A 21928-nucleotide genomic window follows, 5' to 3' on the forward strand; every position below is an offset into this window, starting at 1 on the left:
AAATGAATGAATGAATGTGAATTCTTTGAACACACTATTATGAGTTCATTGCTTATTGATCAACTCACGGCTTTTCTTCAATAGGCATGAACTGTACTCTGAACCACTGTCATCATTCTTACTATAACATGATGGGCATGATTTCTAAATCATTGTGACAACTTTGGGAAAAAGACACCGGGGAACATTCTCGTTTGAGAGATGGGCAAAGAAAGAGGTTGCAAAAAAGACCTAGAAGCCTGAACCACAAAGGAAAAAGGGAAATTAGGAGAGCACATTGCCTTAGCAGCCTGAGGAAGATTGTTTTCAAGCGGAAGTCATCAGATAGGTTATATAAGGACCTCTACAGACCAAATGTTTTGGGAAAGGCAAACAAGATGCATTTACCTGCAAAAATACCAGCTGTTTATATACAAGTAAGTAAGGTTACTATTGGAATGAAACATTGTATTCTGCTCTGAAAATAATGTCCTGGGTATTAGAAAATGATTATAACAATGAATTCCGGAGCAGTGCGGTACATAAAGTCATTGTCATCCACGGAATGAGGGCTGGGTGTGCCACAAGGCTCTTCTGACTAACTGCAGGTCCCCGACTAGGGCCTCTTTCTATTTGACTCCAAGTTAGGTAACAGAGGCTGACAACTGCCATCATATAAATGGACCTTGGAAATAAACATTGTGTTTATCATGGCAGGGAAAGAGAACAGACTCTAGCGAAACTGTAGGTAAACACAGATATATTAGTCTGAACTTCGAGTCAAATGATAGATATTGCTAATTTCATGTAATAGAACCCAGTATCCATCAGCTTATTCACACCAAGCATCTGATGGGACCTAGGCAAGGTCTGAGTTTCTGAGAGGAACATACACAGCAGCTGGGGGCCACAGAGCTAGTCATCGACACCCACCCCCACCTCAGGGCACTTCACTTTATTACCTCTCCCCAGTCTTTTTTCCTAAACTTACAAGAGCAGGGGCAAAAACTGGAAGAAGAATGGAGCCTAGGGGAAAAAACAGGTAGTAATGCAAATTGTGTCAGTGGCTCAGAGAAGAAAAGCAGGTTAGTAGGGGGAGGTAGGTGTAAGATGGACTAAACTCCAGACCAACGTGGCATATGTTGCTGTTTTGTCTGAGACCAGACTGAGCCACTTCTAGAGAAGTGGTGGATTCTGCAAGGGCTTCAATTGACCAGTGAACCTCTGGCCTTCCATGGCACCCCCATTCCTTGAGAAGTCTGATGGTTACATAGGCTTTCCTGTTACTATTCTATTTTACAGGCCTTGTGCTAAATTCTTCTTGGATTGGTTTTGCTGGAAGGGATTTCTTAACTTCTTGTGGGTTCTAGAAGCAAGCTCAGACAGAAATGATAGTGCAATATTATTTCAGGCAAGTTTCCTGGGAGAAACCACCTGATTTCATGGCCTGACCCACCTTGATGCCAGAATCTGGGAAGCTTTTATATCAGCCACAACATGTAGAAAATAATAACTCATGAAAACTCTTCTTTGCAGCAGGAGGAAGGCAAAACATATGCTGTCCCAAATGATTCCTGCTTCCCCACTGGGAAGTGTACAGGGTGAATTAGCAGCAGCTATAGTAACAGTAGAAAAACACACATTAAAATTAACATCCATTTTCATTGTAATTTTATAAAATCTGAGGTATGGTCAGGCTTGGGAAATATAGGCATAAAAGCAGCATTCTGATGCTCTGACTTACTTATGAGTTGATTTATTTACAAGGAGATCACACACTTCCAATCCAATATCAACACTGATTCATAAGGCTGACCATGCATTGAACTCTTCACACTACAAGGCTCAGGAGGGCCCTTTTTACGTGGGAGGCCTCTTGAGTATTTCTCTCTCTTAGGAAGAAAGGGACCTCCAACAAAGGCCACAGAGAAATAATGTCCCAGTGCCAGTGGAAATGCTCTTATACAAAAGAAAACACCCATTCTGGGAATGGGCTATACCCAGGGGTAACCAGCAGAATAATGAGCACAGCATGGCTTATTAGAAGGAGTATCAATAGTATGCCTTATCTTAAGTGAAAAACAACGTCCCAGTGAGGCTTCGGCAAAATATAGCCTGAAATAGAAATCACATAATAAAAAAAAAATTAATCTTTTTAAAAAAGACTGGGTGTGGTGGTTCATGCTTGTAATCCCAGCACTTTGAGAGACTGAGGCAGGAGGATTGCTTGAGGCCAGGAGTTCAAGACCAACCTGGGCAACATCTCTACAAAAAATTAAAAAATTAGCCAGGCATAGTGGTGCAGCTACTCAGGAGGCAGCTACTGTGGTCCCAGCTACTCAGGAGGCAGAAGTGGGAGGATTGCTGGAGCCTAGGAGTTCAAGGTTACAGTGAGCTATGATTGTGCCACTGTAGTTCAGCCTGGGTAACAGAGACCCTGTCTTGAAATATTTTTTTAAAAATAGATAAATAAATAATAATAAATAAATAGAGAGAGCACTGTGTCCAAGTAGCACCCATTCTGGGTGCCATGGTAGGCCACGTGTGATGTCGTCCTTGGTTCTGGTGCAAGAGGCAGGGTGGTGGCAATGACACTTCTGCCTTTGTCTTGGCAGGAGTCTAACTCTAGAAATCCTCATGCTCCTCCCTACTGTTTCCCTAGGCTTGAAGCTCTCTGAGCTTCCTGAGGACAGGAGGAGCCTGAAGTCAGAGTTACTTGATGCCCCAAGACATTAAGTGGAGCAACAGCAGGTTTGAGTGGGCTTCTAGAATCCTTCCTAATCTTGACTCAAAAAGTCCGGGGAGTTACTACAGCACTACATCCAATCTCCAGACCCTGACTCCAAGTCCTCAGCATTTCAGAAGTTTCAAGAAGATGATCAAAGAGGCTTAGCATAAGGCATCTCATGTTATAGACAATAGATTCACAATGTACTACAGTTCTACAGCCTCCATCTGGAGAAAACTGACCCCACTTTTATATCTTTATGTGCTTTGGCCCACTTTTAAAACTAGAACAATACAACTATCCTCCCTCTTCTGCCTTTCTGCCTTCACACTTGCTTTTCATACTTACGCATTTGATAGCCTTTGACTGTGCAGGCCAGGCTGAAAGCCTGGATCAACCAACAACTATTGTGCACCAATGTTCCAATGTATCCACATGCTCCTATCTGAAAAACAAAAGAGGGGGATAATCCTGAAGCTCTGCAGCCAGAAAAAAAAGTGGTGTTTTATGATCCCAACATGTGCAAGAATTCACAAGGTCTCAGTGATAAGGATTCCAGGAGATGCCAATTGTACCTAAAAATTCAGTCACCTTGTGGTAGTGCTTCAGGAGCAATGTAAATTCCTGGGAAAAATTAAACCTAACGAGGAAAGGAAAGGTCTTTCATGTAATGTTTTCTGTACTTGGAAGCACCAGTTTATCAAGAAGAAATCTTGGACGATCATAGAAATAAATCCCAACTCTGTGATAATGAATGGGTGTGCACTGAACCCTAGAACTTGGACTTTGGTAGAGTTATTTTCTTACAAGCCAGACACATATAACCTATGCTCTTCCCTGGAGGTCATCCCAGACCTAAGCTGCAGGGTGTAGTTCTTAGAACAAAACAGAGTATGTGTTTTGAGTCTTGTTTGACCAATTCTCTCGGTAAAGGAGTATTTTTTGTAGATTGGCAGGTGGTTGTCTCATAACAATGAATTTTTTGTTATAGTTAAGTTTAAATCCTGAGTTGGAAAATGTTTAAACAAGTATGAATCATTGCAAGCAAATACATAAATGTGACAGATACATTGTGTGCATTTCCTGGGAACATGTGAGGAAGGAGAATATCATCAGGATTTGCTCCAACAGCAGCAGTTACTCGTTATGGATTCCCCAGCCCTGGGAATATTCCAGTCCTACACCATCATGTCCTGCTTTTGTTCCTGTTTTCCAGGCTAAGAATGCCTTCCCCCTTTGTCTCCCTGCAGACCCTTCAATCTATTTATGAGTCTCTGATGCGTTCAAATGGCATCACCTCCAGGAAGCCTGTTCCCAGCTTATCTAAGCAAGATATTAGGCATCCTTTTGTTTCTCAAAAATGTTGTAATAATTATCATTAACCCATTGCATCATAATTATTTATAAGTAGGTCTAACTTCCTTTTTAGAATGTGAATTCCTTGAGGGCAAAACCTGACAACTGTTTATCTCTAGTTCTTCAATACATCAAATAGTGCTCAGTAAAAAACAGGTCTACAGTACAGGTTTACGGAATGAATGAATGAATGAATGAACTTTGAATCCATACATTTCCCAAGCATGGCTGTGAAATCAGCCTCTGGCAACAGATTCCTCACCATCAGACTGGCTTTAGAATGAACCAGAGTTCTGTTGTCCTGTCTCATGCTCTCTTCAACAACTCTCAATGCTACTCCAAATGTAAATTGATGTCAGAGGGGTAAAAGTGACCAATAAGTCACTTTCACCATCACCTAGAAAATTAACCTTTCAATGGACTTCAGACAAAATAAATTATCCAAATACCTATTCATGGCTACATAAACTTGGCTTTCCAAGACTTCTAGACACAGTGATACACGTGCCCCCCCGAAAATCAAGGAGATATCACAACTGAATTGCCTGGAGAGCTCATCCCTAAGTAGCTAGGAAGGAAGAAGCAGAAGAGATTTCCTCACTGCTCTCTCAGTGCAACAGCAGTTACAGCCTGGGAGACTGAGACGCAGGCACAGGGATAAACCTTAAGTGAGCGCCAGCCAGAGAGCTATTAACTCCTTCAGCTCAGGAGAGGTTGTTGCTTAATTTCCCGCAGCACTAAATCACTGAAATGGTGTCGTTGTGTCCTGATAGGTTGATGTGACTCTGGAATTACTAGTGGGCAGTGTGAGTTGCATGTCATGTTAGGGGAAGAGTTGTGTTCTGAAACATAGCTACTTAAGAGCAGAGCAGCCAAGCTTCGTCGGGGCCTGGTGCGGGTTGTGGGGGGGGAGGGTCCCTCAACCGTACATTGCTCTAGCTGTGTCCTGATCTGAATGTCTATACTCAGAGACAGCCAGACAGAAGGCTGCATTTTCTCTTCTATCTACCCACATCTTCTGAGTACATAAAACATTCTTGCCTATAATAGCCCATTCCACCTCATTCCCTACTCCACCCAGTATCATAGAGAAACATGCTCATTTTATCTCACACTTCTACAGTTCTTTCTAGATAAGAGCGTTGCTTTTTGCCAACATAATACAGCTTTTGAAAAGATTCAGTGGCTCAAATTCAGCTCTTAACAGGGCCACTTCATAACTCATACCAGGAGTGATGACAAATTGTTCCTCAGAAGAGACAGAATTTTAATTAGTAAAAGACATTTTAGAATTTATTCCTATGAACACATATCCTTTAGCCATGTGGCCTTGAAATGGTGAAAATGAGGAAAAAGGACTCTGTTTAACGTGGCAAGACAGAGAGAAATAAATGGTTTTTGAATTCTGAATTTGCAGCATCTTATTGGGGCTTTTAAGAGAGCAACATGACAAGCACTGGGCTTTTAATAACCACTGAGTGGACTGTTTACTCTTACACGAAAACCGCAAATGTGTTATGCAGTGGCAACCACTTACTGACAGGATATTTTTCATCGTAATCACAAAAACGTTGTATGCGATCAGCCAGTCCCAGTAGCGCAGGATGCTCTTGATGGGTTTCAACAGCAAATCGCCCCCAAAGAGCAGGAAGTAGAAACAGGCCACCAGGTACCCCATGCAAAAGATGCTGATCCTGGTGGTCCCAGTGATGAAGATGATGGTGAGCACAAACCAGAAGAGGTAGCTGAAGATGATCACTTTGGACATGTCTAAGTAAGATCTGGAAAACAAAGCCAGTGACAAAAAGACAACAACAACAAAACAAACAAAAGCAAAATCAGGAAAGTCTTTAACAAGGGAAGAAATTCATGCTCTCTGCTGCACCTTGCAAATCAGACTGTGAGCTTTCATTTAATCCTGCTATCTAGGAAACCCTCAAATAGTTAGTAATAGACCAATAGATGAGTTTTGGAAACCGTGTATGCTTCTCGTCACCTTATTCAGGCCAAATTTCTCACAAACAACAACATTTTCTGCCTACCACTTGAGTATTCAAAATTCTCCTTTCTGTTTCTATGGGAGGCATGAATAATTGTATGGCAAAAGAAATTCTAAGATACGGATGCCTTCTGGCTAGTGAAAGAAAAGTTAAGAATGGATGAACTAGAAGTTAAACAAATTTATGTTGAACACAAAGCTTTTATTAGAGGTGGAAATCTTTCCCTACAGATGGGAGGTGATTCTGACCAACTATCCAAAGCCATGGTGGGGCTTTTTTGTTCTTTCCAATACTCTGTTTCTGGAGGTCCTCAGGATGAGTCAGGATTCCCTTTTGGGGGCCACCCATCCCTGCTGCTTTCCTCATGGAAGGTGAGGCCAGCGTTCCGGTGTCAGTCTTGCAACAAGCAGCAGCTCTAGCCTGCGGGTCAATGTCATCTGACAGGAGTCACACCTACAGGCCAAGTCCCAACTGCATTTCTTGATTAGAACTTTTGGTTTTGGGAGTTTTGCTTTGGTGGTTTCTTTTGGCGCATTTGGGAAGAAACATAGGAGAACCAATTCTGGATTAATTCTTTGATTAATGGGTTCTTGTTCTGTAGGATGTTAATAAGTAATTGCTTAATAAAATATGCACTACACTTGAGCTATCTAGCATTATTAGGGGGATGAGTTTAAGTTGTGCCTTGGTACATTTTTCAGATAAGTAAACTTTTACCCTTTATTCTTTTTAAAGTAAAACACTTAAACATTTTTATAACTTTTTTTCTAAAATACATAAAACCCTTCCTTGACTTCATAATGGAGAGTGAATGAAATGTCAGTATCTCCCTGTAACCCTAGATCATCACAAATAAAGGTAGTGATTTGCATGAGCCTAGGGGCCTTCTGAAGTGTGTGTGGTTTGAATTCAGTGGAATTGGGCTGCTAGCATTTTGAGTGTGTGTGCCTGTGAGTGCAGCTTATTCTTTCCATACCTTTCCTTCCTTGCCTACAGCAGTCAATTCCTGCTTTACCAGCTCTGGCCTTCACACCTTGGCACTGAACCCACTTTGGGTCCAGAATTCATAAAACTAAGCTTGTGAAGATAACATGGAAAACATTGATAAATACGCTTCAAAGCGGAGCCTTAAGGATTTCTGAATAGAGAGACTGAACCCTGGTGACAGGTACTGTGGCTAAGGGGCCACCTAACTATCAGGGCTCTGGCCACTTTCCAGAGATCCCAGGGTGCTGCGGAGCTGACCCCTGTTGGAGAGGAAGAGGGGAGCATGGCTGTGCTTCTGACCAGCAAGCATGTGCGCTGGCTTCCTACTTACTGCTGTGGCATTTGACAGGTCAATTCCTGAGTGGGGTCACTTTTCTGGCAGTCCTCATTGAGAAACAGAACAAAAATTTGAAATAACTAAAACAAAAATCAGCTTTAAAAATCAATGGCACACAAAAGCTTTCCATTTGAGTTATGATTTAGGTTTTTCATGAATACATTGAAAATACTTATGTTCCCTTTGCAATAGTAAATATTGGGCTGGACTGATTGTTTTCTTAGCATCCCAGAGAAGAGGTAAAAATGGAAGTCTTACCTTAGATCAGTGCCTAGTCTGGTACTTAATTCACAAATAGAATGGTCAAGTCTGTATAGCATATTGTTTTAAAGCAAATTCACTTCCTGATTTACTCAGTTCATATTGAGCCTCTTATGCTACCAAGAGGCACTTAAGCGCATAAACATTCAGATTTGGGAGCTGGATTGCTTGAGTTCCAATCCCAGTTCTGCTGTTGCCTATGTCTCATCTCGTTGCTGCAGTTTCCTCATCTCTACAACAGGGATAACCGCATGACCTCCTTGGGCTGGGGTAAAAGGGCTCCATGTGTGCAAAGCTTGGAACAGAGCCTGGCGCAAAGGGAGTAGCAGGTGGCTGACAGCTATCTGTATTGGTATATGCATTGGTATATGCCAAGAACTGTAAGTAGGAGGATGGGGACAAATACAAAAGCAAGTTAGACATGATCTTCACCCTAAGGCAACACTTTAGAAGTGGGGATAAGATGGGTTCTTCAGATACCAACACCAGGCAGAAGATGATCCACACCATGTAAACAGGAATCTCTGGAAGATCGGAAGCTGGAGAGAGACTCCATGTGTGGGGTCGGCTGGCTTGGGTACTATCAGTGACCTATCTCCACATGGATGGCATGTGTGCTGTGACTGCATGAGCTTCTCACTGCAACCTCATATGGCTCAATAGGGCAGACACTAATCAGTGAGGATCAGAGGTTAGGAAATTAGTCCCATGATATACAGCTAATAAGGGGGTATGAAAAGTCACAGCAGCTTCCTCAGACAGCTGACTATAGTGGGCAGCTGAGTGGAATGTTACAGGCATTGAAAGACTGAAGATCTGACTGCAGAGGCACAGTGGGCCTGCCCTCCATGAAGTGGGCCTTGGGTGACAAAAATCTCAATACGGAAACCCAGGGAATGCAGAAATGGTGAATGCATGGTGAGAGGTCGAGCACGGTTTAAGCACAAATACTGTGAGGGAAACATGGCCCAGATCAGCTGTCATGAGGCTGGGCAGAATGGTGGAGGACAGAAAAGCTGCTAGGGAGCCCTTGCATGGCCACAGGGGAGACACTGCTCAGGAAGAGCACAGGCACAGGGTGGAATCTAGGGAGCCACCCCTCCTCAGTGCCCAGTGAATACAAGAAGTGAGGATGAGGACCAAGGGATGAGGAGGAGAGATGGGAGATGAGGAAGACGAATGGAGGATGAGGAGGCAGGATGGGGAATAAGGATGAGGGATAGAGGGTGAGGAGGAGGGATGGGGGATAAGGATGAGGGATGGAGGATGAAGAGGAGAGCTAGGGGATGAGGAGGAAAGATGGAGGATGAGGAGGAGGGATGGAGAATGAGGAGGAGGGATGGGGATAAGGAGGAGGGATGCAGGATGAAGAGGAGGGATGGGGATAAGGATAAAGGATGGAGGATGAAGAGGAGAGATAGGGGATGAGGAGGAAAGATGGAGGATGAGGAGGAGGGATGGAGGATGAGAAAGAAATGGAAGAGAAGGAGGGATGAGGATGAGGCAGAGGCAAAGGGGATAAGGAGGAGGGATGGGAGACAAGGATAAGCTATGAAGATGAGGGATAAAGGATGAGAATGAGGGATGGAGATGAAGAGGAGGGATGCAGGATGAGAAGGAGAAATGGAGGATGAAGAGGAAGGATGGGGATGAGTAGTAGAAATGGGGAATAAGAATGAGCTATGGGGATGTAGATAAAGGATGAAAGATGAGGAGGACGGATGGAAGAGGAGAAGGATGGATGGAAGATGAGGAGGAGGGGTGGTGATGAAGAAAAGCTATGAGGATGAGGAGGAGGGATGCAGGATGAGAAGGAGAAATGGAGGATGAGGAGGAAGGAAGGATGAGGATGAGTAGGAGAAATGAGGGATAAGAATGAGCTATAGGGATGCAGATAAAGGATGAAAGATGAGGAGGAGGGATGGAGGAGAAGGATAGATGGAGGATGAGGAGGAGGGGTGGGGATGAGGATGAGCTATGAGGATGAGGAGGAGGGATGCAGGATGAGAAGGAGAAATGGAGGATGAGGAGGGATGGGGATAAAGATGAGCTATGGGGATGTGGATGAAGGATGAAACATTAGGAGGAGAGATGAAAGATTAGGAGGGGGGATGGAGAATGAGGAGGAGGAATGGGGATAAGGATGAGGAATGGGGATTAAGGATGAAGGATGAGAATGAGGGATGGAGATGAGGAGGAAGGATGCAGGATAAAAAGGAGGAATGGGGATACGGATGAGGGATGGAGGAGGAGAAGCAGGGATGAAGAGGAGGAATGGGAATGAAGATGAGCTATGGAGATGAGAAGGAGGAATGCAGGATGAGAAGAAGAAATGGAGGATAAGGAGGAATGGGGATAAAATGAGCTATGGGGATGTGGTTGAAGGATGAAAGATGAGGAGGAGGAATGGAGGATGGGGAGGAGAAATGGGGATAAGGATGAGGGTTGGGGATAAAGTTGAGGGATGGAGAATATGGATAAGCTATGTGGATACGAATGAGGGATAGAGGATGAGGAGGAGGGGTGGAGGATGAGGATGAGAGGGAGGAAAGGGGGATGAGGATGTGCTATGGGGATGAATATGAGGGATGGAGGATGGATGAGGAGTAAGAATGGGGATGAGGGATTAAGGATGAGTGGGAGGGATGGAGGATGAGAAGAGGAATGGAGGGTGATGAGGAGGGATGGGGATAAGAATGAGAGATGGGGGATGAGAATAAGTGATGAAGATGAGGAAGAAGGCTGGAGGGTGAGGAGGAAGGGTGGGGATAAGAATGAGCTATGGGGATGAAGATGAAAAATGGAGGATGAGTAGGAGAGACAGAAGATGAGGAGGAGGGATGGGGATGAGGATGAGCTATGGGGATGAGGATGAGCTATGGGGATGAGGATGAGGGATGAAAGATAAGGAAGAAAGATGGGGGATGAGGAAGAGGGAGGAAAGATGAGGATGAGCTATGGGGATGCAGAGGAGGGATAAGAGATGAGCAGGAGGACCCTCCACTGGAGAGCTGGTATTACTGGCACAAGTCAGTTTTGGTATGAAGAAGAGGAGGAGAACTGAGGCCATAAAGAGGCGGTTTACATTGACAAAAGCAGGTGCAGTGCTATAATTCAGAGGCTCAGCCTCCAGGCTGCTGAACCACATTGTCCAGCATTTATTAACTTCAGTGTATACAATTCAGCAGATCTGTTTCCCAAGTATAGCAGAGAAAGTATAGAGGAGCAATGTAATGGAAATGCACACATCAAAGTGGCTTTTAGCAAATGTGAAGCTCTTGTTACCTGCAGTGAATAAAATCTGGCACAGGGTTATGTTGGCTGAAGGAGGCCGCATCAAGGTTCATGCAGATCTCGACATTGTCACCTGCCATGATTCGCACTGCAGCCTTGTTCTCATCCTCAAAAATCTGCCGTTGTAAGGAGGCACACAGAAGCAGCATGAAGTCATCTAACAAGACAGAGGTGAGATCATTAAGCCGCCTCATCCTCTTCTGATTTACATAATGCAACACACAGTCATCACACAGCAACAGCCATTCCCCAGCTCCTAAGTGAGTTGTGTTCCCAAAGTTCATAGTAAAATTCATCCTGGAGTCCAATGTCGGGGCCAAGTCACACCTTCTCCACCTTGCAGGGCATAGAGTGACCACAGACACTCCAGGAGCTTACGTGGGGAGTCTCTGAATTTTGTTTGCACATCGGTGAGAGAAATATTAGGTGCTACTTACTAGTCTTCATGAGTCTCTTAGAGGGTAACATTTTTGTGTGTGTGTGTGTGAGACAGAGTCTCGCTCTGTCGCCCAGGCTGGAGTGCAGTGGTGCGATCTTGGCTCACTGCAAGCCCCACCTCCTGGGTTCACACCATTCTCCTGCCTCAGCCTCCCAAGTAGCTGGGAATACAAGTGCCCGCCACCATGCCTGGCTAATTTTTTTTACCTCCCACCAGTTTTAAGGAGGCCACTTGAGCAATTTCCCCATCTTTATCTTTTTATGTGTGGTGGATGCAGACATTCATTTTTCTTTATCCTTTCCATCCTCCTTTGCATTTGTAACCAAAGACTGTCCCCAAAGCAGAAGCCACACTGCAAGTGTGGTGAGAGCAGGTGGAGGTGGTGGACTGTGCTGGACAGCACAGCGCAGCCTGAGAGAGCTGTCCTCCCAGCAACTGCCCACAAAGGGCTGAGGCCAAGCCTGCCTGGAAGCCTGAACACAAGCTGCTTCCTTGCTTTTAAAATTAAACCTAAACTTGTTTAGGCAGGGCAGTCATTTGCATTTTCTGTAAAACCCAGCACTCTGGTCTTGGAGGAGCTGCTCTGACCTTTGGATCACCAGCTGCCATGGGAAGGCCTTGGGGCTGCAGCCCAATTCTAGAGCAACTAAAATCTGGGAAGCATCTCCCAGCATCCACTGTCCCATGTTCAGGGTTTATTTATCTGCACTGGGAGCCAGAAACCACCAAGTCAGAAAACACAAAAGCCTTCCTCTCTGGTCTGTCTTTTGAAAGGTGGCTGTGTAAATGTGTGTGTGTGTGTGTGTGTGTGTTTGTGTGTGTGTGTTGGGGGAAGTGAAATTATGCAAGTGAATATGGCATTTCCAACACTGATTTATTAATTTTGCAAATGTAATAGGGTGAGTAGAAGCCATTAATGACTTGTGATATTAATGCATAAGACAAGCCTTTACATGATTACGAAGTCTAGTGGAAGACAAAAGGCACTAATGCATAGCACGTGAACAATGATTAACAGTAAACCCGGATACCAGCACTCTGTGGCCCTGCAGTGGAAACACTTACAGACGAGAAACACAGGGTTGGGCCGCACAATGAAATCTGGGAAGTACAGCCACTTTATGATGTTGTCATTGAAGCTGGCACCCTTGAATCTCCACGGGTAATCTGCAGGGAGGGAAGTGGCGAACAGCACAATCAATACTCTTCTTCACCACTCTTCTCCCAGCCGTCCGCTCAGTAATGGCTTCTTCTAAAAGTAGACGGCTCAAGGGAAGGGCAGGCTCACCTCGGCAAGGAGCAGGTGGGATGCCAATGCAGATGAAATACTGGAAGGTGATGATGCATGCCAGGAAGCAGCAGTACTTGGGCCAGATCTCTGCGATGGCTTTCCTTCTGCGTCTATATAAGACAGCGATCAGCCAGCAGGCGTGGATCATGGCATAGAAATCCATTCGCTGGCCAATGACGTTAACTGACATTAGGAAACAGGTCTGTGTAAAGATGAAAAGAGGCAAAAAAAAAAAATCAGGCATATGGGAAAGGGGACTGGTGATAGGTGTCAGGTCTGTGTAGATGGCGGAGACCCATGTCCCTCAGGGCAAGTCTGTCTGCACAGATTCACAAATGCTTGCTCTTTTGAGTGTCTCAGCGTGAAGACAGAAATACTGTACAGATTACTCCCAGGGAAAAACTGACTAAGTAGCTGTTATCATAACCACTTCAGACAATAAAGAGAACAGCCATTTTGATCTCCTCATGAAACATCACCATTCCTACTTCATTCTATGAAGGCACAGGCACTATCACAATCGTTTTAGGTTAAAACAGTTCATTTTGGCTGCAGCTTATGGTTTCAGAATGCACAAAAAGAAAGAAGATTAATACTTTATTATTTATTTATTTTGAGATGGAATCTTGCCCTGTCACCCAGGCTAGAGTGCAGTGGTGCAAACTTGGCTCACTGCAACCTCTGCCTCCTGGGTTCAGGCAATTCTCCTGCCTCAGCCTCTCAAGTAGCTGTGATTACAGGCGTGCACCACCACGCCTGGATAATTTTTGTATTTTTAGAAGAGATGGGGTTCCACCATGTTGCCCAGGCTGGTCTCAAAGTCCTGACCTCAGAAGATCTGCCTGCCTTGGCCTCCCAAAGTGCTGGGATTACAGGCGTGAGCCACCGTGCCCAGGCAGAAGATTAATACTTTATTCTTAATAAGAAACCTGTTAACACGGCAACTGATGGCCATGCATTTAGATGGCTCTGGAGATCCAGAGAGGCCAAGGCACTGCTGTGGAGGGGGGTGTTCAGCACCCAAACTTGGAAAACTTTCAGTCAAGCCAGTTAACCATCAGTACAAATACTTTCTGTTCTTCTCAAGGGGACAGCTATCATGCCTGCAGATGTATCACAAAGTTCCAGTGGCCAATTGGCCAGAAGCAGTTCTTTGAATTTTCATGGAAAAGAGAAATAAAACATATCAGCAAGGAAACTCACCTCCAGACCAAACTTGTAAAAGAAGTAATTAATGAAATATTTGGCACAATTAATAAGTCCATCATCTAGATGTAGTCTTGTAATGTCATGAAAGATAGTTCTAGACACAGGGGCCGTCAGGTTATTTCGACCTCGATAGTATTCCTGATGGCGGTAAATGGTGACTTCAAAGGCCAGGATAGCCAGCATCAGGAGGTTATTCTACAAAGCAAGGAAACACAAATGTGTCAGCCAGAGGCTTTATGATTTGGTAATTTCAAGCAATCCCCACATTCTGCACAGCTACAAGGACAATGTTTTATAAAAGCTCACCTCTCTTAAGCAGTTTTGAGCTCAATATTCGTTTTCTCTGTCTTATTTATTGTGGCATTATCTATATTAGAAAATCAGGCTAACTTCCAAAGTCATAGGATCTAGAATCTCCAAACATAAGATGCTGCTGCTCATTCCTACTTCTCACAACTACACATCTCACACCAAGGAAGCAATTTCCAGTTATCCAAGGAGGGCAGTTCAGCCTTGTTTGCAGCCAGAAGTGCAAAAACAGTACAGAGACATCCTGGGACGCACTGAGCTAAATGAACGGGAAGCTGCTTAGGGGGAAGCTTTTGAACACTCCTGAAATCTGGCTACAGACAGCAATAGATTGAAAAGCATGCTGACAACAGTAAAATAATAATAGTGATGATATAACTATTATTCAAGATAATGAAAATAGTTAACATTTATGGAACCATAGGTTCCAGACACAATTCGATCACCCTTTTCAAATACCAATTTGCTTTATCCTCATAACAGCTATTTATGGTGGGTACTGGTACAAAAGATATCTACCATGTGATGAAAAATCTAGAAGGTCCACAAAGAAAATGGGCTGCTTAATACATTTAAAAATCCCAGGTGCTGAGTGTAGAGGCTGTACCCTTAAATGCATTGCCAGTGTAACATGATTAGGACTGCTCAGATAATCCACAAAAATAAAATGTGAAAAATCTGAAGCATGTTGTTTTCATTATGTTTGTATGACTATTTGTACTCGTTTCCTTTTCTAAATATATGTTTTATTTTATTACTTCTAGATGTAGTAGATTCTCTTTATTAAAAACTATAGATAAACAGAATTTACACAGCGAAAATGTCTTGTAAGGCTATATCCGCTTCTCAGAAATAACCACTATTGAGCATTTGGTATACTTTACTTAATATTTTTCTTTGTGTCTAGAAGAGATCATACTATGCACAGTGTTTTGAAATTTGCTTTTTAAAAATCTTACTATATTTTAGACATGCTTCAATTCTAATGCACCCATCGACCTTAATCTTGTAATGGTCTTAACATGATTGTATAATGTTCCAATGAATGTATTTGTCATACTTTATTCAAGCAATCTCAGACCGTTTGATCATTTTCTCTTTAACATGCCACAATACTGATTTTAACACTTAGAGTTTGTTGCAAAGGTGATGCCAAATCCCACATGAGAAGATATGGTTACTATCAAATGTGATGTTAAGCGTCTCATGGAAAAGAATCCTGAACTATTATATAACGGAGTGGAGGCCCAAACTAAGCACGACAAAGCCATTACCCTCAGGTAGACTAGCAGAGGCGAAGACTTCCGCAGGCCGACCCACTCTGTAGGATCGATAGGAGCGCTGTAGAGCAGAGACTTGTTCAACTCATTAAAGGGGATGTTTGTTTGATTTTCATTTGGCTAAAAAGAAGAGAAAATGGAGTAAAAAAAAATAGCTCCACAGATTAGGAGAGCTCAGGTTATTTCTTCTTCAGCCTTGAGCAAAATGATAGTGGTAGGATGGGAGGGACAGGCCCATTTCAGGGGAGACCTCAGTATGAGACGAGGCTTAACACAGGCCCAGAGCACGACCAGCCAGGGAGAGGTGACTTACAAGCCAGGTCAGGCCAAATGTGCTTGGGGATGGGGGTTCCCCAAGTATCTGCCTTGCTTTGCTAAAGGGCAGTCAGGAATATTCCCCCATCACCGAGGCTCACCAAGGAACAGTTAACAGAGAAGTTCTCAGGCTTAATGGTTTGGAGCTGGTACAACATTTTGCAGACGATGATCACACACGTCCAGACTGTGCAGACACTTGAAGCCAGACGGCGCAGCTTGGCGTACGGCAGAGCAAAAGCCCAAGAAATCAAAAATACATAGTTGAACAGAGACACCTGAAAACGTAAAACCAGAAATGGGGACAAAAATACGTAACACGGCATAACAAACAGGACAGCCACAAAACAGGATGACTTGATTTACTCAGTTCGGCAAAAGCAGACTGGATTCCTAGCATGCGCAAGGAATTGCCCTAGGTGCTGGGGTACTAAAGTAGGTGAGTTATGGTCTCACCCCTCAAGGGCATTATGTCTTGTATGGCAGACAGACATATCATCAGGTGACATCAATATCATGTAGCACTGGCTAAGCTATCAATGTGGGCAGGCTCCTGTGAGAGCGCCCAGAAGGGTCCTTGGTCCAATGTGGAGGTCAGGAAGCACTTTCAAGAAGAGACAGTGCCTGAACTAAGCCAAGCCAAGAAAGATGAGAGGTGGATTCTTTAGGTAAAGGAGGCATGAATGAAGGCAGGAAAGCATGAGCTAGCATGGTGGGGACAGGCAACAACAAACGACTGGAAAGTTCAGAGTTGAAAGTGTGAAGTGCAACAGGAGGTGAGGCTGGAGATGCAGCTACAGCCAAGTTTTGATGGATCCTTTTTACACCATGCTATGGCACGGGAGCCCATTCTTCAGAAAACTGAGAGCTGTGGAAGGGCATTACACTGGGAATTTGGAGGTAAGATTTGCTTCCTATTGAGATAAATGTAACTGATGAATGGAGGGCCCATTGTGGGGACTGGACACGACTTTTGGGTGACCCACTCACGTGCCGCGGCAATAGCCCAGGGAAGATGGGGAGGAGGCGCGGATTCAACATGGGAGGCAAAATTAGCTGGACTTGATGACTGATTGGCTTGGTGGGCCGGTGGGTAAGACAGAAAGTTCAAGGAGTGATTCCCAGGTTTCCACTTGGGAGCCTGAGTGGATAACAGTGCCATTACTGAGACAGCAACGCTGATAGGGAAGCTGGTCAGAGCAGCAAGGTTATGAACTCAGCTTGAACCTGTTGACTTTGGGCTGCATGCGAGTTCGTTGATCAGGCCAGATGTTCCCACATTTCTAGCAATTCTTTATAGTTAATAGTCCATTGGACAGTATAGAAGGACCACCATCTTCTTCAGGCATGGGAAACGCTCATTTATTCTGCATATTTTTATGTTAAAGTAATATCCTAGAAATGTTTAATATTCTCAGGTAGAAATAATAGCATGCTCTCATTTGATACAACTAAACATGTACCAAGCATTGTGGGCTAAGCATTGTGGGCTCTAAAAGACATAGTTACCTACTTGGCTTATAAAACTATAAAAGAAGAGGCCGGGTGAGGTGGCTCACGCCTGTAATCCTAGCACTTTGGGAGGCCAAGGTGGGTGGATCACGAGGTCAGGAGTTCAAGACCGGCCCGGCCAAGATGGTGAAACCCCGTCTCTACTAAAAATACAAAAAATTAGCCGGGCGTGGTGGCAGGCTCCTGTAATCCCAGCTACAGTGGCCGAGATCGTGCCACTGCACTCCAGCCTGGGTGACAGAGTGACACTACGTCTCAAAAAAAAAAAAAAGTTTAAAAAATTATAAAAGAAGAAAATGTGGAGACTACATGACTGTATTTAATTCTGCTATTTGTTACCTGTTACTCTTCTGCTCAACTATTTGTCACTGTCCAATGCAAGGAAGCTCTCTGAGAATTAAGTGCTGAAATATTAAAGTAGGAAGAGATGCCTTATAGAATTAATTGAAGATGAAAGAAATACTGTACATGGAAAGGCCCTGCAAACCATAACTCACTCATAAACATGTTACCTTTTAACAAAACAGATAGATTAGCGAATTGACTCTTCCTCCATAGTCATCAACAAGTGTCTCGTCAATTTGGATATTAAAAAGCAAACCCTATTAAAGATGCTGTGAAATTAACTCAGTTATGTCTGTTATTATGTATCTAAGGCCTTTAGTAAAGACAGCACAATTAATTTATTCAGAACTTTTAATTTTCTGAGTGATGGAGAAAGGGAAGTAAAGGTGGTAACTTTCATTAAGTCTTAACTAGGTTCAAGGTGACACATCCCCTGAGGATTCCCTGCCCGCAGGAGGCATGTGGGAGGGACAGATGGAGGCACACAGGCACTTGGTGACAGCGTAAGGGGACTGAGACCTGACGAATAAACAGGAGTTAGACAGGCAGAAGAAATAGCAGGTCCAAGGTCCTTCCAGACTTGGGAGAGCATGGGCTGCCCATCCTTGGAGAAGCAAGTGATTCATTGTGAGAGAAGTGTGATCTGAAACCTGTCAGGGGACTTTAAAACCCATCCAGCGTCTTAGAGTGTCCAGGAATGGCAAAGGTGAAGTGGTGTGGGCTGGATCCCGGGGGTCTTATACCACGTTACGGTGAGGATGCCAGGCAGCTGCTGCAAGGTTTCAGGTAGAAGTCTCTCATGATCATATCTGCCCTGTGGGAAGACTATTCTGGCCGCATTGTGGAATACGTATTGCAAGGAGAAAGGATTGGGCAAAGCTGGGAATCTGTAAGAGTAATCTAAAGGGCAATGGAGGCAGAGGGAGTGAGTAGGACACCTGAAAGAGCTTTGGGGCCACTCAAGAAGTGGGGTCAGGCCCAGCTGTCAGGTGGAAACAGGGGCCTGGAGTTCAAAGAGAGTAGTGAGTTGACACAGATTTTGGGACTCGCAGCAAGTGCAGGAGTCCTGTGCTTGTGAGCTCGTGAGCTCACCCATGAGAGTCCAGAACAGAAACACGCTGTGGACAGAGACTGAGGAACATGCTGAGGAAGCTGGTGGGAAGGGCGGGATGAGTCCAGCAATGAGACAGGAAGGGCCTGATGAAACTGTGGGGAGGGGCCGGGAAGGTGAGCTGATGTCCAAAACAAGAGAAAGGAGAGCTTCAATGACAAGGAAAGGATCCCCTGTCCTCAGCATCCTAGAGAAGTCAAATCAGAGGAGGACTAAAGAGCCTCTGTGCGGTGAATATTTTTATTTTTATCATTTTACAAATAGAAAAACTGGGGCTCAGTGAATGAAGTATGATACTTCATTCCATACAAATATCAAGCCCAGTGCAAACCTCAGTGCGCCTTGCCCTCTCACAGTTCTGTTATCTAAAGAGATCATGATCTCATCATTTTCCTGATGGTAAGAATCTCGTGGAAGGAAAGAAGAAGAAAGAAGGAGGAACAGGAGGAGGAGGAGGGATAAGGAAGAAGAAGAGGAAGGAGAAAAGGGGAGAGAGAAGGGGAAGCAGAAAGGAGGGGAAGGGGAAGGAGAAGTAGGAGGAGAAGGAGGAGGAGGAGGACAATGACTATGACAAATACCTGGGCCACAACCAACACCTGATGAATTAGAATTTTAGGGAAATAGATGCTGGTCCACGTACATAACAACTGTCCAGGTGATTCTTACTATCAAGGATTTTGAGAAACAGTTTTATGCAATAGTGCTTTCCCAAAAAAGCCCTGTACACAGGTTGTCATCCTATCTGAATATAACCTTGTGGGGCCTGAGGGCCCTGCCTCAAGGGAAGGGGCCTCTGAGAACCAAAGCCTCCTGGGCCCTGCACTTACCCATCCCTGGCTTCCCTCTCCCAGAGAACCCCAGTTGCAACTATCACCTCCAGGCTGCAACCGCCTGCAAGAGATACTCCTCCCTGTGCAGCAAGTGCTCACTGTGGACACCTCTAGCACAGCAGTTATTATCACTTTTAGTTTTATTTGGCAGCCATTCCCATCAGGCTGTGAGCTCAGACAAGAAGTGTGTCTTTCAAGCTACTACACTAGCACCTAGCACCATGTACGCATTCACTTTATTGTGAGTCCTTAATAAAGGCTCAATGAATGCTTAGTGAGAGTGAAAATAATAACAATGATGAGACAGACAAGAAGGAGAAACCTCAGGTCTGCAAAAGTTTCCTTCCTTCCTTCCTCCCACCTTCCATTCCCTCCCCTCCCCTCCCCTCCCCTTCCCTCCCCTCCCCTTCCCTTCCTTCTCCAATTGGCCAGGCCCCCCAGGGAGGAGCTGAGGTGCTAACAGAAAGTGTGGCTCTTGCTCAAGACTCACTGACCTCACAGAGCTGTCCAATAGCCTTCGGAATTAGAAAGTAGCTGTGTATTTCAAAAGGAGGAGAAAATGTTTATGTATACTATATATATATTTAAATCTAGATTATTCCAAAGCAGTGTCACTCCTGAATAAGATGCTGATGGAAAATAAAGGTTTCTCTGTTTCTTTTCCAGCAACTTCTTCTTTTTCAGATGCTTCATGATGCTAACTTTGAAAAGGTTTAATATTTGCAGGAGAGATGAACCCAAAAGTTGTGAAAACAAGCACCCTTACTGAGGCCTTGGGTAAGGATGTCTGGAACCCAGAGCTGCCACAGCTCCTGAAGAGCTTTCTTTGTGGAGAGGGGCTGCATCCTGCCTGTCCCCCAAGCCCCCAGTGCCAAGATGATGGGGCAGGTGGGGATGCAGGGAGGAGAACGTCCTCTGCGCGCAGCCCGAGTGAGGAGCTAATGACTCGGAGCCCGATGCGTGAACCCTGGAGCTTGGGCACTGGTACCCATGGGGCCAGAAGAGATGAAGAGCTCTGGTTACAGGGTGCAGAGTCTCTTTGCTGGGCTCCATGTGTACAAGCAGAGCAGGGCCTGTGTGAGGGTGGCCCCTGGTCCTGATGGGGAGGCACAGAGCACCCAGAGCTGCTCCAAGGCTGCGGGGAAGGCTGTCTGGAAGGGCAGCAGGACTCCACAGAGGAGTCCAGGAGGAGAAGGTGCTGGCAACCAGGGGCTGGGTGTCAGTGCCGGCCAAGAGTGGCTGTGGGATGCCCCACCGTGGAGCCTCCAGGAGGGCAAGGGCAGGTTTACCCGCCAGTTGCCAGCCCAGAGCGTGAGGCCATCATGGGATGGCACAGGCCAAGTCACAACATCCCCATCCCAGGGGGCCTTGCCCTGAGCCTGTGAGTCTGAGCTCCAGCCCAGGAAAGAATAAAACAAAAGAAGGAATAAAGAGCCTCTGTACAGTGGATTTTTTTAAAAAAGGACTAAAGAGCCTCTGCGAGGTGGATTTTAAGGAGATGTGGGTGAGAAAGAAAGGATCAGATAAGAAAGGAGGAGCTTCTACCTGGGGAGGGACCCGAGTCTCGATGATTCTCTGTGGGTGCACAATTTTAACTACTGAAGTGAGATTTTGCTCACTTAAGTCACTGTAGGATTTTGTATTTCTTAGGAATGATCAGAAAGTGCGCTGTGTTCAGGGACACGGAGGAAAGTTTCCCTGTAGGATGCATTCTAAAGGGACCATGAGGGTCTGAAGAGAAGTCTTTTGATTGGATGTCATCACCAAATTGATTGCTTAGTGTGCCAATTACATTAGAAAGAGCCAGCAATGCACACACTGTCAAGAACCCAGAGACCAAAGCTTCAGGGCCGGAAACCCCCCATGCAGGTGGGGTGACATCACGCACAACACGAGTGGCTGAAACAATTTTACAGCAATGGGATTTGGCAGATGCTAGCAGCAGAAAGAGCAGGATTTCTATGCTTCAGGAGTCTCTCACTTGTTTTAAAGTTAAAGGTGAGAGAGATGAAATTAGGAATGAAAATTCTGAAAGTCTGCACAATGTGTGAATCACAGAGAAGGGAGTGGTGATACTCTATGGAAGGCTGTTTTCCCAAGAGTGTAACAAGGTAACTAGATATTCTGTTTACTTGATGGTCTGTTAACAAGTTTATGTCTGGGGACTCATTAAGGATAATGAAAAAGTTATGTCTGCCTTTTGTTTAGGATCTATAAGAAATTGCATCCTTTAACCCTTTTCTGATGGATGGATTGTACAACAGGATGGATTTATGACAGCAGATTCTCTGCGTCCGACTCCCATGAATTTCCGCTCCCCCAATGCCCACTCCCATCACCACACT

The 21928-nt window shown here is 44.8% G+C and overlaps 1 protein-coding gene and 1 non-coding gene across 12 annotated transcripts in view; both read right to left on the bottom strand.

Annotated features, from left to right (window-relative positions):
* Positions 1-21928, bottom strand: part of PIEZO2 (piezo type mechanosensitive ion channel component 2) — a 479323-nt gene that overhangs the window by 76789 nt on the left and 380606 nt on the right. For all 11 annotated transcript variants that reach the window (XM_047437735.1, XM_017025918.3, XM_047437736.1 and 8 more), the window contains 9 exons: positions 15887-16063; positions 15465-15590; positions 13876-14076; positions 12670-12874; positions 12447-12548; positions 10934-11099; positions 5601-5844; positions 3056-3152; positions 1436-1595 (listed from right to left, as the gene is read on the bottom strand). In XM_047437735.1, the coding sequence (XP_047293691.1) occupies positions 1436-1595; positions 3056-3152; positions 5601-5844; positions 10934-11099; positions 12447-12548; positions 12670-12874; positions 13876-14076; positions 15465-15590; positions 15887-16063 (1478 nt within the window). The remainder of the gene's footprint in view (positions 1-1435; positions 1596-3055; positions 3153-5600; positions 5845-10933; positions 11100-12446; positions 12549-12669; positions 12875-13875; positions 14077-15464; positions 15591-15886; positions 16064-21928) is intronic.
* MIR6788 (microRNA 6788) lies at positions 12549-12614 on the bottom strand. The gene has a single exon (NR_106846.1). It is a non-coding gene; the product is annotated as a microRNA 6788 (primary transcript).

The sequence above is a fragment of the Homo sapiens genome, chromosome 18, assembly GCF_000001405.40.
Source record: "Homo sapiens chromosome 18, GRCh38.p14 Primary Assembly".
Classification (NCBI taxonomy): Eukaryota; Metazoa; Chordata; class Mammalia; order Primates; family Hominidae; genus Homo; species Homo sapiens.